General features: G+C 44.0%; 2 annotated features.

Moving 5' to 3' along the window:
- Nucleotides 8,236-9,435: an enhancer, noted in NCBI's record as "CDK7 strongly-dependent group 2 enhancer chr20:20998081-20999280 (GRCh37/hg19 assembly coordinates)". NCBI's record gives its function as "activates an origin of replication core promoter dependent on BRD2, BRD4, P300/CBP, MED14 and CDK7 cofactors, with strong dependence on CDK7, by STARR-seq in HCT116 cells {active_cell/tissue: HCT116}" and the evidence as "EXISTENCE:reporter gene assay evidence [ECO:0000049][PMID:35650434]".
- Nucleotides 10,539-11,497: an enhancer, noted in NCBI's record as "H3K27ac-H3K4me1 hESC enhancer chr20:21000384-21001342 (GRCh37/hg19 assembly coordinates)". NCBI's record gives its function as "activates a minimal SCP1, AML or CMV promoter by ChIP-STARR-seq in naive H9 embryonic stem cells {active_cell/tissue: H9 hESC(naive)}" and the evidence as "EXISTENCE:reporter gene assay evidence [ECO:0000049][PMID:30033119]".

A 14,699-nucleotide genomic window follows, 5' to 3' on the forward strand; every position in this document is an offset into this window, starting at 1 on the left:
ACGATGCACCTGCCACATAGTAGGCCATCAAGAAAAAAATGACCATTTGCTCCTTAAACGAACCTCGTTTCCATCATCAAAACACTTAGTGCTTTCCTGGGAGAGCCAGGCCCATGTTGTGTCTAAGGAACTGTTAAAAAGACAGTCTTCTACAAGCCCTCCCTGCTCTCTGGCTCGCTACAGGCAGCATTTGTTTTCTGATCTCAGCAATAGCAACGGATTGTGATTCCTCCCATCTGAATTCTGGCCCCATCCTTGGCACAGAGAGATTGGCCTGAAGGTTTTATTCATAAATAATTAAAAGCCAGAAGGCAAGACAACAACATATTATTCCCGTGACCCTTGTGTTAATAGCATCACCAGATGATGTCTCATTTCCTCACCTCTAGCTCAGTCCAGATGATCTGTAGACATATATGGTTTTTTTGTTGTTGTTTGTTTGATTGTTGTTTTTTGTTTTTGTTTTTTGAGATGGAGCCTCACTCTATCACCCAGGCTGGAGTGCAGTGGCGTGATCTTGACTCACTGCAACCTCCACCTCCCGAGTTCAAGCGATTCTTCTGCCTCAGCTTCCCAAGTAGCTGAGACTACAGGTGTGCACCACCGTGCCCAGCTAATTTTTGTATTTTTTGTAGAGATGAGGTTTCACCATGTTGGCCAGGCTGGTCTCGAACTCCTGACCTCAGGTGATCCGCTCCCCCCGTGGCCTCCCAAAGTGTTGGGATTTCGCCTCAGCCTGGACATGTAAGTTATCCACCACCTCAGCCATCCCAGCTGTAGCGTATTGCAATAAGGAGGAATTAGCGGGTCAGGGATGGAAAGGGAATCAACTGTCCCTAAAAGGAAAAACTGTTTTCTCTACTGATACAACACTTCTGAGAGCAAATTTGTGGGTTTTCTACACCAAGCAGTGTGCCAATTCTCTGCAGACACTAACTGGGTGTCCCACAATTTAATTCTGACACTAATGACCCAGAGTCAGCACAAACCCCACAGTGAAGAGCTCAGTTCCACCAAACTGCCCCCCACTTCAGATGCCAACTCCAAGTAATTGATACCCAGGTTACCCACAGTTCTGTCCATCTTAGCTACAAGTTGAAGGTTCCCATGACTCCTTCCTCAGGTTCGATGACTTGCTGTAATGGCTCAAAGAACTTAGGAAAACACTTTATTTATATTTACTGGTTTATCATAAAGGATATAAATGAACAACCAGATGAAGAGATCTATAAGGCAAAGTATAGGGAAGGGGCTCAGGGCTTCCATGCCCTCTCCAGGTGCATCACCCTCCTGGGACCAACCCAGGAGCTCTCCAAACCCCAGTGTTCATGTTTCTTATGAAGGCATCATTACACATGCATGTTTGATTAAATTGTTGACTATTGGTTATTAAACTCAATCTCTAGCCCTTCTCCCTTCCATGGAGGTTGAAGGATAGGACTGAAAGTTCCAACCCTCTAATCACATGATGGGTTCCTCTGACAACGACTCCCATCCTGAAGCCATCTAGGGCCCCACCAAGAGTCACCCCATTAGCATAAACTCAGATATGGCTGAAAGGGGCTTGTTATGAAAAGGACACTTCTCTCACCCCACTCATTCAGAAAATTCCAAGGATTTTAGAAGCTCTGTTTTCAGGCACAAAAAAACAAATATTATAACAAAAGTTGCTCCTATCACCCCAGTCACTCAGGAAGTTACAAAGGTTTCCGAAGCTCTGTGCCAGGAACCAGTGGGGAGAGACCTAATATATGTTTCTTATTATGCCATAGGCCCTGACACTATGCTTTTATTTATTGATTTTAGAATAATGTTTTTATCTTGACTTTTTAAATACATGCTCATTATGAAATATTCAAGTGATGCCTAAAAGTACAAAGAAAAAGAGCAAAACCTTTCTGACTAGAAATCATGATTTTCAGCATTTGGTGAGCACCATCCCGGACCTCTGTGTTTGACTCACACAACTCAAATGAGCAAAATATAGATAGGAAGTCAACTAGGGGGAAAAGATCATGTTAAATATCCTATTCATTTACTTGCTCATTTTTTGTTTTCCAGACCTCCCACCCCAAACTCTACACTGGAAAAGTCCATGAGGGCAGGAACTTTAGTTATCTTGTTCATCATGGAACCCTCTGAGCCTAGTGCAGTGCCTGGCATTTAGTAGGCTCTCAAAAAATATTTGTTAAATGTTGAAATGTTTCTACTTAGAAGGGAACATTTGTGCACACCTGTGGTTCCAGCTACTCAGGAGGCTGAGGCAGGAGGATTGTTTGAGTCCAGGAGTTCAAGGTTGCAGTGAGCTATGATCCCGCCATTATGCTCCAGCCTGGACAACACAGCAAGATGCTGTCTCTAAAACATATTTCTTTATTTGAAATTTTTTTTTTACAAAATATTTCTTCCTAGATGTTCTTATGATTCTTTCTTTAACCTTGGAGTTCAATGGCTTCCCCAAGATATATCTCAGTGTTGATCATCGTATATAATCTTTTCCTGGGGCACTTTGTTTTATCAATGTTTCCTTATTTTAGTAAAGTTCGCATATATTAGATCTTTGAGTAGTTCATTCCATTTTCCTGTTCTCTTTTTCAGAAACAGTAATCATGGATATGAGGGTCTCCTTTGTCTTCCATATCTATCATCTTCTTTGCAATTGTTGTTTATGTTGACTTTACCATTTCGTTTTGTGCAATAACCTCAAGGCTGACTTTATCTTCAGGTATATTCCCCCATATCCCTTAATTTCCTTATCACAAGGACGCATCCTATCGCAGGTCTTGTGTCCCGGACTACTGTTGCTAATAGCAAAGCTCTTCGGGGTACACACCTTCAGGGCTGTGAGCAGGCTCTGATTGTCCTTCCCCACCCCTCCCCTCGCTTCCTCTCTGGAAGTTTTCCTTGACTAGGAGACCAGGTCACAAGCAATAGAAACAGACCCACATGGCCACTGCTTTTTTAGCCACCCCTTCATCCCTGACCTCGCTATAAGCAGTGGACAAAGGACATTCTCATCTCTCCCCTGGCCCGCCCATGAAACTGGATCTTGACCCTTTAAGAATCCTTGGATATGTTTTTCTTGATGTGGAGAAATGCTTTTGGAGAGGTACTTACACTACTCAGGTTTGTGGCAGCATGTGTGCTCTTGGCCTCGATTTCCTTATGTTTGCCAGGAATGTGGCGGTTTGTGGTGTGATGCTGTGGCAGTTTCTACTTCATTGATGATGGATTATGTTCCCTCTATCTTTTGTCCTTTTGCTGATGTAGGCGGAGTATGAAAGAGGAGCAGAGCAAAGATGCTACAATGCTACTGTTGGTAGGTATAAAGACTTGGCCCAGATGAAAGAGATTTTTGCACTGGGGATTACAGGTCTGGAACCAGCGGAATGCCTACGATGCTCTCACTTCTCAAGTTTGCCCTCCCAGCCATGTCCATGGTGAAGAACACTGCTTAATGCATACACCACATGCCTCCCTAATGACATTTCCCACTGTCATGCTGCATCTTACCTCTGTTGTAATAAGAGTTATTTGACCCCCATGGCATAGGCCAAGTACCCATGAGCTTTTATGCTTCTTGAGAGTCATAGGTGTCCTGGTGATTCGCAGCCATGGGCAGGTGCCCCTAAAAGAATAAGTAGCATTCATTTCTCAAGATATAGCAGCTTCCAGTCTTCCTGTCACAGGAAAGGAGAAATTGGCTTGGTGAGGGAATATCCATACAGTAGTCCCCAACTATCCAGTTGGCTGCCTTGAAATACTGCTGTGGGAGAGGCTGGAGAAAAGGTGAAGGAGTAGCTGATGCCCCCAGGTTGATAGAAGACAGCTCTTTTTTCCTCCCCCACCCACAAACTTCCCTCTTGCTGTGAAGTCAGAGGCAGAAGCTATTCCAGGGACAAGCTGCACATCCAAAGCATTCCGAGTTTGCTTCCTTACGCACCCTGATTCCAATTCCTGCCCCTGCATGTTGTCTGCTTCCCATCACCTTTTCTTCAATGTGTAAAACCTTAGTAAAGTATTACCAGTTATTATCCATGGGCAATTCACTTGTCTATATTGCCTGTAGAATGTCATATCAACCTTGATCTTTCAGTTCATTATCAAGTTCTGACAGATTGGTTTTAAAGAACCAATTCCATGGGCTGGAGTCAGGGCACTGCCAATTTCTGAATGGCTAAATTTCCTGTGACCCATCCGTTCAAACATCACCTGGGGATGCCCTTTTACAACAGAGGAGGTTGAGATAGCCACAGTTCAATGAATTAACAATGCTAGAGTTTGCACGCTTTCTGTGGTTTGTATTAGCTTTAAATATCTGGCAATGTCCAGTTCAATGGACATTGGCCACATGACAGTGATGTCCCTTATGCACACATTTGGAGCATCCTTTCTTCAAACTGTACTCATGTGAACAAATTACAAAGAATCTTGGTGGGAGTCCAAGACAGCGTGAATTATGCTATCTTGAGGCCCTTGCTTAAGCAAGGATATTGCTTTGTTTGCCTAATGTGATCTTAAAACATGCCTGCAAATTTTTTGACACTCATCCCTTCGAAAAATGTGGAGTTTAATTCTCCTCCTATAAAATATGAACTGGCCTTTTGGACTCACTTCTAATGAATAAAATGCAGCAGAAGTGTCTCTGAGTGACTTCTGAGCTAGGTCACAATGGGTTCAGCTTCCACCTGACAGGCCCCACTCTCAGAACTCAGCCACCATGTTGTAAGGAAGCCCAGGCAAGTGGAGTGGTCACAGGCAGGTGTTCCAGCCAACAGCCCCAGCTGAGGTCCAGCCCACAGCCAGCATCAACCATCCGAGGTGTGAGTAAGCAGTCTTTTCATGAATTAGCCCCCAGCCTCTGAGCTGCCGCAGTTAACACCACGTACAGCATGGATGAGCTACCTCTGCAGTACTAGTCAGCCAGGGCTGCCATAACAAAGAACCACAGATTGGGTGGCTTAAACAACAGAAATTTATTTTCTCACAGTTCAGGAGGCCAGAAATTGAAGATCAAAGTATCTGCTGGAATTGGTCCTCTCTGGGGACTGGAAGGGAAGGATTGGCTCCAAGTGTCTCTCCTTGGCTTGAGATGGCTGTCTTCTCTCAGTGTGTCTTTATGTCACCCTCTGTCATTGCCTATGTCTGAATTTTCTCTTCTTATAAGGATGCCAGTAATATTGGACTAGGGCTCACCCTAATTAATGACCTTGTTTTCACTAACTCATCTCTGTCTCTAAACACAGATTCTGACACACTGCAGGTTAGGACTTCAGCATGAATTTATTCAAGGGACACAAGTCAGCTTGTAACACCTGCTAAGCCTCCACCCACATTGCAGACTCATGTGCAAAATAAATGTGCTGGTGTTTTGAGCCACTAAAATTTGAAGTGGTTTATTTACACAACAAAAACACAACGATATGCCTAAGGTACTTGACTTAGAGACTCAGGTTCTGGTGACTATCTCAGAATTTATTCAGCAAACACCCTCTGACATCAGGACTATACCATTTGGGGTGGTTCTCAAAGAACCCAGGCCAGGCCACATGCAAAACACTTGGGAGGGAGCTGCAGGACTGCATATTCAATGCTATCTGTGTTCTGTTTTAATATTGTTCCTTGATTGCAAGAAATGGGATCCACTGAGGCTGTCTCCAGAAACTTTCTTTCAGGAAAAGTTATTCCTTAAAATAACTTTTTAGGGAAAAAGTTATCATAGGGATGTTCTGGAACAGAAGAGGGATGCAGTCAGGAACAAATCTAAGGCCAGAAATGGAATATGTCTATAGGAAATAGAGTTGCACCTCTCAGCAGTTGACTTTGGGACCTGTTCTGGATGCAGGGAGTTCTGCGGCTTTTAATATAGGGGAAACATAGTATTAAGAGCACCCTTTTGGAGCCAGACAGCCTGTCAAAGCCTGGCTCCACCAGGTACTAACAGTGTTGTTCTGGAAAAGTTATTTAATGTCTCCATGCTTCTGCTTCCTTATCTGTTAAAATGGACAATCCAGTACCTATTACATGAAGTTGTAATCTAGGATCATTTATATGATGGGTTAACTATTTATGTATGTATTATACGACTTGCAAGGAATGAATTTCACTGCTGACTCTTCTCTCTCCACCTGGCTTCCTTTAGTGACCCAGAGTTACTGCTCCTCCATTACTTCGGCTTGTACAGCAAATTCATTCATTGATTCAGCAAATGTTTACTTGGCACCTAATGTGTGCTAGGTGCTATTTTAAGCCCTGGGGTTGCAGCGTTGGGTCAATGAGATAAATCAATCAATTGGGCATTGTGTCAGTCATTCAAATATGCTTGACCTCATCAACCTTGATTCTATCATGCTCTTCTCAGCTAAAGTTCTACTTTACTTTATGAACTTCTAGCAGATGCTCCCGCCATTCAGGGGCACCTTTTCCCTGCTTCTTAGCTCAGATCCTTGGAAAAAGCCCTCTGGCCCAGCTTATCTTTTCAAATCAAGTCACAAAATATTTTTGACCCACTTTCTGATTGGTTTCCTAGGATCAGGTGGTCACTCATCCAACCAACTGTATTCTAGGATGGGAGATGGATCCAGGACCCAACCCACATGGACAGCAGGGCTGTGGGGCAATCACATGATGGGCAGCTTTGGTGGGAGGCCTTAGCGCAGTACTTTAAGGATGAGGGAGCCCACCATGGACTCCTGTGGGAGCTTGGAGTGCTCCAAAGAATCCTTTAGTCAATTTCATACCACACAGGCCCAAGGAGGGTACATGACTTCTGGAAGTCACACACAGCCTGTTAGTGACACGCTGGGTATGGAGCCAGGTGTGAGCATCTTGTATGAGCACCTTGTATGTGTGAGTTCAGCCTGCCTGGTGTGGCCGAGGCAGTCGGTGCCCCTTCCGTTTCCTCTGGACATTCACTATTCTCGTGTGAGCCAGCAACTTCAGAGAGAGCTTTCTCTGGCTGAAGAGGTATACTTGGCCTCTCAACTAAAGACAAACAAAATCTGGGGGTACATACCCCAGCTTCCACACCCCTTGGGTAGGACAAGTCTGAGACGTGTCCCACATTACCTCCCAGAGGTCCCCAGCAGGACTGAGCCTCAGTTGCCCACACCTGTAAACTGCTCCTTATGCAAACATATTGATTTCTTCCCTTCCCTATCTCACTTGCACTCTCCTCCACCTGTACTTTCTGCAGTCACCTGTCAAATAAACCACTCAACACCTTGCACTCAACACCTTTCTGAGGGTCTGCTTCTGGAGAAACACAGGCAAAGATGCCTTCCAAGTAAAGCAAGTGGCAAGGCCATGTTAATAAGAGAGAAAAAACGAGGCATGGGGAAAATGCCTGGATAGAGAGACACACAGATGCAGATACCTGCAATGTTGGTCTTATGGAAACCATCAGATGCAATGGGAGGCTACTTGCCATAGTCTGGAGCTACAGAGAAAAGCAGGCTGCAGATGGCAAGGTGGAGCCATCGTGGGAGGAGTTGCTTGTAGACAGGACGCCTAACCAGCTATTCTTAAAATGTTGCATTCTTCCATTTTAATCTCACTCATTATTGAATCATTAGTAATGATTTATATGACATTGACTTTTTTCAGAAATCTTGACTAACTCTTTGACAAGAGATTAATAAAGAGTGGGACTTCAGATGTCAAGTTTTTATGAGCAAAAGTGTCCAAGGCCATCTCTAGATGGGTATTCTTGGCTGTATTCACCACGCTCTCCAGAGACTGAAAAGCAATTGTTTAGCTGGGTAGAGGAGCTGAGCTGAATTAAATTGACCTGCATGATACAGAAAGTAGCACTGAGCACATTTAACTAAGGAGTCTTTGAAAGAAATCTATTTTATCGTAGCTGACTGCTGAAATTATTTTAAGGAAGTGATTATCAATCTAATAATTTAAAACGCATGAATGATGTCAGCATCCAAAATTAAGGCAGACTGGGAGAACAACGTGCCTGCTCTCGAGTAAAAAGCTAAATGCATCTTTATTTCTTTCTGCTTTTTTTCCTCTTTTCAGAAACATGAATTTGACTGCTTTCAAAAGCCAATTGTTATGCCTACATCCTGAAAAGGGAGATGAAATTTCCATTTATAGTAGAATACCAGCAGCCTCACTTAATCCAGATACACATATACCTAAAAGCACTTTTGTTCCAAATATAATTATTACTCTGCGGGAAAATCTGGTATGAATCTCTTGGTTTGGTGGAGTTTTAAGCCTGTCTTTAATTTAAAATAACTTTATTAGAACCCCTAGAGATGAGAGTGGACACAGTAGGGAAAGGTAGTTATCATGATGAGAAAACCAGGGATGCTGGAATTCCTTCATTGCAGGCTTCTGGCTGGAGTTATTAACTCAGCTATGGAGTCTGAGCGCTCTCACCACTTGGGTAATGAATGAATAAATGAGTGTTTAAAAGCCCTCTGAGCCTGCTAGGCCTGCCCCAGTGTGCATATATGACTCTCAGAGCATTGTGGCCATGGTCCGAGCAAAGCTAAATCCTTTCGTGAAAAGGTTCCCTCTTATGGGCTTCTGCCAAAGCCAGTGTTCGCTAGGAAAGGCAGCAATTTTTTTTCTCCTCTTCAAAGGGACCTTTATGTACTAACTCACTCCCACCTACTGTGCATGTAAATTATTCATCAGTGATATGGCCTCTATTTATGACTTTGATCCTTTCCTTCCCCCGGATGCCCGAGGAGCATGATAAGACGGGTGAGTTATCAGAGTGGCTTTGATCTCCTGCTCGCAAATGGTATTTTGTGGTGGAACATCTGAGCCCCCTCTGTAGCTGCAGGGTGGGTCGAAGCTGAGCAGAGTTTGGGGTTTGTAAGATGTCCATCTCCTAGCATTAAACCGTCTTCGGGACAAAATGGGATGGGACAGAAACGAGCCTATTTCTCCCCCAAAGGAGCAACTATTCACACACAATGATTCACAGGCACCCACAACTGCTCTCGCAGCAGGCAGGACAGTGCCATGATAACTCGAAGGTGCAATTCTCATCCAGAACTTCTTTCAAAAGAATCACACCACCTAGGCCTCATGCAATGGTGTTCCAGGATAAATAAGTCACTTGGGGAGAAAACAATAGAATCATGAGGGATGGGACCCTCAAAATTGTTTGCTCCGTCTCACATGGTAAAAATAAGCTTTTCCTTGTAAAAGGGGGTAAAATGTAGGGCATACAGAATGCTGGAAGGAGGAGGGAACCTCCACACTTCTCAGAGCCCTGAGATGATCGTTCCCCGCAGTTTGTCATCAAACTATTAGTGACTGCCGATTGTGTCTGGCATTGAATCTTCGGCGCGCTCACAGTATAGAGACCAAGGACGGTGGACTCTCTTTCATAATGGCAGTGTAAACCACTTTGCATTAAGTAGGAATAATAACCTTTTTTTAAAGAATGTGTCAAAATAATTACATTTCTTGTTGCTTTCCTTTCTTCCACATCACATGAGCAAGCACATCAGCCTCACTTGAACAGATGAAAGAAGGACGTTTTTTCAGTGAGGGCTGTTCTAAGAGGAACACAGGACCAACAGTGAGAGGGCCTCCATTCCGTCATGGCTGACTGGGATTTTAGGCACTGCATGAGCTAATTCTAGCCAACATTGTGGATTTGGTTATACCTCTTCTTTCTCAGGTGACTAGGAAGCCATACTGTCAGGAATATTTGCCCTGCGAATGTCCCGTATGATGTCTGCAATGTTGCAGATACTCCTGCCACTAGCAAATTCCCTCTACTGTGTTATTTTTCCTTTACTAAAGGTGATATCCTCCGAAACATTCACTCTTTAACTCAGAAGCCGAACTTTAAAAGGGGACTTAGTAGTAGCTCGGATGTAGGTTTCATTATTTTGTGAAGAATTTTGTTCAAATGCATTTGAAAATCATTTTTAGAATTTCAGAATAAAGTCCATTCATGTTTTTCAATGGTGCATTCACAATACAACAGATTTGAGCTTGGTGTGGCCTGTTTTGATGCAGGTTACCTGGTTGGCTTAGTTTAAAATTGATATCACAAGTGCCTTAAAGCGCATTTCATCAAATGTTTATATCTAATGAGATATTTAGGGGACAGATCATTTTTTATATCTTGAATGGCCTGGTGTACAAAAATCACCTCATCTTCATAAGGAAGGAGAATCATTCTAATTTGCTAAAGGGGGAACAAATTATTGATATCTTCTCATGTTTTCTAATAGTATGTTAGCAATAAATAGCCTTGATGTTCCAGAAAGCAAAAATCTCTGAGCTGAGGGAAAACAATTCTACCCTGCCGCGCGCGCGCACACACACACACACACACACTCACACTCACTCACACACACTCTCTCACGCTCACATGCACCTTCAGTTTTTCCCTTGCTGTCCCCCCATATGGGAGGAAGAGAAGATGTCTCCAGAAGTGTGAGCAGAGTAAGTAAACATGGAGAGTTTGTGATGCTTTGGTGACAATTACCTCTCCTTTCTGCTTCTGGCTGCTGTGGTTCCAGATGGTGGAAACGTTCCGTCCGATTCTTCCCTCATATTGTGCGTGCTCAAGCCACAATACCTAGAATCCTGAGCATTGTAAGTGTTTAGTAAACACCTGCTTCCAAACAGTGGGTAGATATCTCCAAGATGTGCCCACAGCCCCTGCCCAGCCCCCTTTCTCTGCCCTCCTGGGGAGCCTGATTCTATGGGCAGCGCCTGGCGTTTGTTTGCTTGAAAGCCCTGACTGATGGGGTTAGACAATTATGACCTTGGTTCCTAAAGAGCAAAGTGCTTGCTTGGAATGTTGAATTCCGTGCTGGGGCAGGGGGCCTTAGATAATGAGTGAAATACCTCGGTCCCTTCATCCCCACCACCACTACCCACCTCTTCCCAGTCTCAGAAAAATGCCTCCCACAGCCAGCTTCCACAGGGCGACTGCATCGAGTTTTCATCCTGTCCGCCTTGTTAGACTACACGCGCGGTGGGGGCATCGGATGATGCAGCGTGGCTGCTGTCGTTTTGGCAATGCTGTTGCCGGGGGGCAGGCCCCTGGCCCCCAGCTTGGATTCGCAGACCCCACGGGGCCGCCTTGGATGTGCAGACACAGCAGCGCGTGCGCGCTCAGCGGGCAGAGCTTTGTGCCCCGGGCCTCCTGGGACGAGGCTGCAAACCTTCAGATCCCAGCACAGACCCCCCGGCTTCCCTCTGCCCGCAAACTTCTCCTAATTAAGCCAGTCCATCTAATTACGGGGTGTTCCATCAAATATTTCTCCAGATGCTTCCGATGCAGCCTGCGGGCGCTGGTCAAAGCTGGCGAGGCTTGTGATCAGGGCTGCCGGCCCTGCGAGGGCCGCGCGCGTTCCCCTCTCTCCTGGACGTGCCTGTCTCCAATACTGCACAATCCGCCCTCACTCATTTGCTCCGTTGCCTGTCGAAAGCACAGAGCGTAATTACTAAAGTTAAGAAAACATCCCTGTAATTAGCCAGGCAACTCTAAGCACAAGAAATGGAAATTAGTCACAGTACCATAAATTAGTTTGTGCATACATTACGTTCAAGGATCGCCCTTGGGGCCCTGTGTTTGCAGTCTTTGGCGAGCAACCCCCCGTATCTCAATAAAGCATTCCTTCCCGGGTGAGTATGTCGCAAGAAGGGGAGTTTGGCTTGGATTACAAATTTTTTAATTCTTTCGTAGACAGCAGCCAGAATAAAGTCTAATATTCCGGCTGGGGAAACAGACACAAGCAAACAGTGATTTTTTTTTTCCTGTTGATTTTATTTTCCTTTGTGGGCATCTGTTAACCTAGGGCCATCAAGGTGTCTCCAAACAGTGGGCTCATCAATTGCATTGTTTCACTCATTAGGAGCAGTAGTTATAAACTCTTTAAATAACCCTGATTTTCAACTATTTTCACAGTCACTCCTCTTGCTAGCAAAAGCCAGGAAATTGGACTCAGCTACACACAACATAGCATTTGCATCAAAATAATACAGCAGGCAACAGCAAGCCACAATCACATCACTCAGAAGGAAGGAATAGAATACAAATTAAAGGAAGAATGTAAATTTTTTGCCATTAAGCTTCAATGACCATTTGAAATGGTGGAAGGCACAAAGGTTCTTGATGAGCGTCATCTAGTTTGATTATTCATACTTGTGTTTCTGCTTGAATTAAAGCAGGAGTGCTAGAGCCCGTTAAGGGAAAATATTTGAATTGATAGTGAACTCTCACCTTGCCGTGCATCCATTTACTTTTCAAATGAATACCAGATAAGTTAGTGCATTTTCTAATCGGCCTGTTTTCCAGTGAGTGCTGTCATTACATACCAATTTCTTTTAGAAGTGCTTGCTAAGAAACATTAACTACTCACAAATAAGGAGCTGTCTGTCACAGACTGAGGTCTTAAGCTCACTGGCTCATTTCTGCCAGGATAGTTGAGGGCTGTAGAGTCCACAGTTGCCTGGCCTGTCTAAGCTTCAGTCTTTTCCCTACTTCCCAAGCCAGTCCTTAAACATAGGCAAGGATTTTGCCACCTGCCATGTTTCCAGAACCAGGTGGCATTTGCTCTAGTAATAGCCCAAACCAGCTTACCATTGAGTAAATATGTTATTGTGTGCAGGTGACCTGGGTCCACCCCCTGCTCTGATCCTAACTGCTGACCCAGACTTCAGATTCAAAGCTGACTGAGGACAGTGTATCATTTATTCCTGAACACCAGCTCCACAACTAGTAGGTACATTGACTCAACATAGAGAAAACGGGAAATGTAAAGTCTGAGGGTTGTGTGTTTGGGAGAGGTGGGGTGGGGGTGTCTCATTTTTAAAATACACGTTCAAGTTTTGGACAAGGGCACATAAGCAGAAACTGCTCCTCCTGATGGGGAAAGCACCAGAACATTGCTACTCCTCAAGAAGAGACTATATATATATATATATATATATATATATATATATATATATATATATATATATATATATATATATTTGCGCTTAATCAGGGAGAAAGAAAAAGAAGGCACTTACTACCTGGGTCTACATTTGGCATCATAAAGAGTTTCTTTGGGTTACCCCTCCTGTTGAATGTTACTGGTTACACATTTGTTAAAATGTGTCCATTTTTTTAATCCAAAAATTTACTTTCAGGAGTAATCATGGGTAAAATATAGGGCATACCTAAGGGAGTGAAGTATCGCTCACCAACCTTGAGTGACCTTGCTTCCACATGATTTTGTTTTGCAAATTCTGGTCTGTTCATTGACAGAACAACAACCACATTGATGTGAGCTCCTCATACATCTTCAGCCAAGGCACACAGAAAAAGGAAATGCCTGACAAACAACCCTTCTGAGTGAAGAATGATGGGATCTAATGCCAGGTGAGAAGAGTCCTTATCTGGTTGGGATCCAAAGGCTACTCTTATTTTTTATTTTTTTAATTAAAAAAATACATTTTGGTAGGCCAAGGCAGGAGGATCACTTGAGCCCGGGAGTTTAAGACCAGCCTGGGCAATATAGTGAGACCCTCTCTCTACAAAAAATTTAAAAAATTAGTCGGGCATTGGTGGTGCACACCTGTAGTCCCAGCTACTTGTGGGGCTTGACGGGGAAGATCACTTGAGTCCAGGAGGTTGAAGCTACAGTGAGCTGTGATTGCACCACTACACTCCAGCCTGGGTACCAGAACGAGATTTTTATCTCAAAAAAATTAATGAAATAAAATATTATAATCTCAAAATTGGTTAATCTCATAACTGAATTAAAAGTCAAATGAAAATATAGGGAAAGCTGACCATTAAAGGAGCTGTTGAATATGTGCCGTGGCCACCTATGATAAGGAAGTAACCCAAGCCCGCCCCCGGTAGTGCCCTCCAGACCTGACTCTGAGATTGTCCATAGGACTCTGTTGATTGGCCAGTGGATATCAACACATATGATGTAAGCAGAGACTTGAAAAGCATTTAGCATTGCCCTCTTGCTGCACTTGGAGATAACCATGTGAACAAGCCCGAGCTATCCTGCTGGAAGATGAGAGACACATGGATAAGAACTAACAACCTGCCCAACCATCAGACTTGCGAATGAGGCCATCTTTGGTCATCCAGTCACAAGACACCCCACAGATGTACATTGGCAAGAGTACAACAGGAGTCAGCCGGGACAACCCAGCCCAGAAGAGCTGCCCAGACAACCTACAGAATCATGAGCTAAATATGACACTCAAGGTGTAGGCAAATATGCACAGAGTCTAAGACTTAGGCCCATTTTCCTAAAAATTCCCTTTTATTATTGAACCACCGAAATAATTTTTTAATATTCTTAAACAACCAAAATTGTGGTAAGCATGTTCAGGTGCAGTGGAGACTGGATAGTGTATTTAGGACTCTCCTGGTGTGCCTCATTACCTACCAATTACACCAGACCATCTGACAAAGCCTGCTCTTAACCATACAGGTAACTGTATTCGAAATGACACTTTTGAATATTTTGAGGACTAAATGAGTGTGTGTCTGTGTGTGTGTGTGTATGTTTGTGTATAGTAAATGCTGTCTGTGCTCTGTCCCCATTCCCTACACGTCCTTCTCATGTTTATGTGTGTGCATTCACTCCAGCAGCCAGGACCTCCTTTCTTTGGGAGAAACTATTCCTCACCCAACCAAACCACAGGGCTCTCTCATGGACTGACAGTCTTAGTCCACCCCTAACCCAGCCACA

Source organism: Homo sapiens, chromosome 20, assembly GCF_000001405.40.
Source record: "Homo sapiens chromosome 20, GRCh38.p14 Primary Assembly".
Taxonomy (NCBI): domain Eukaryota; kingdom Metazoa; phylum Chordata; class Mammalia; order Primates; family Hominidae; genus Homo; species Homo sapiens.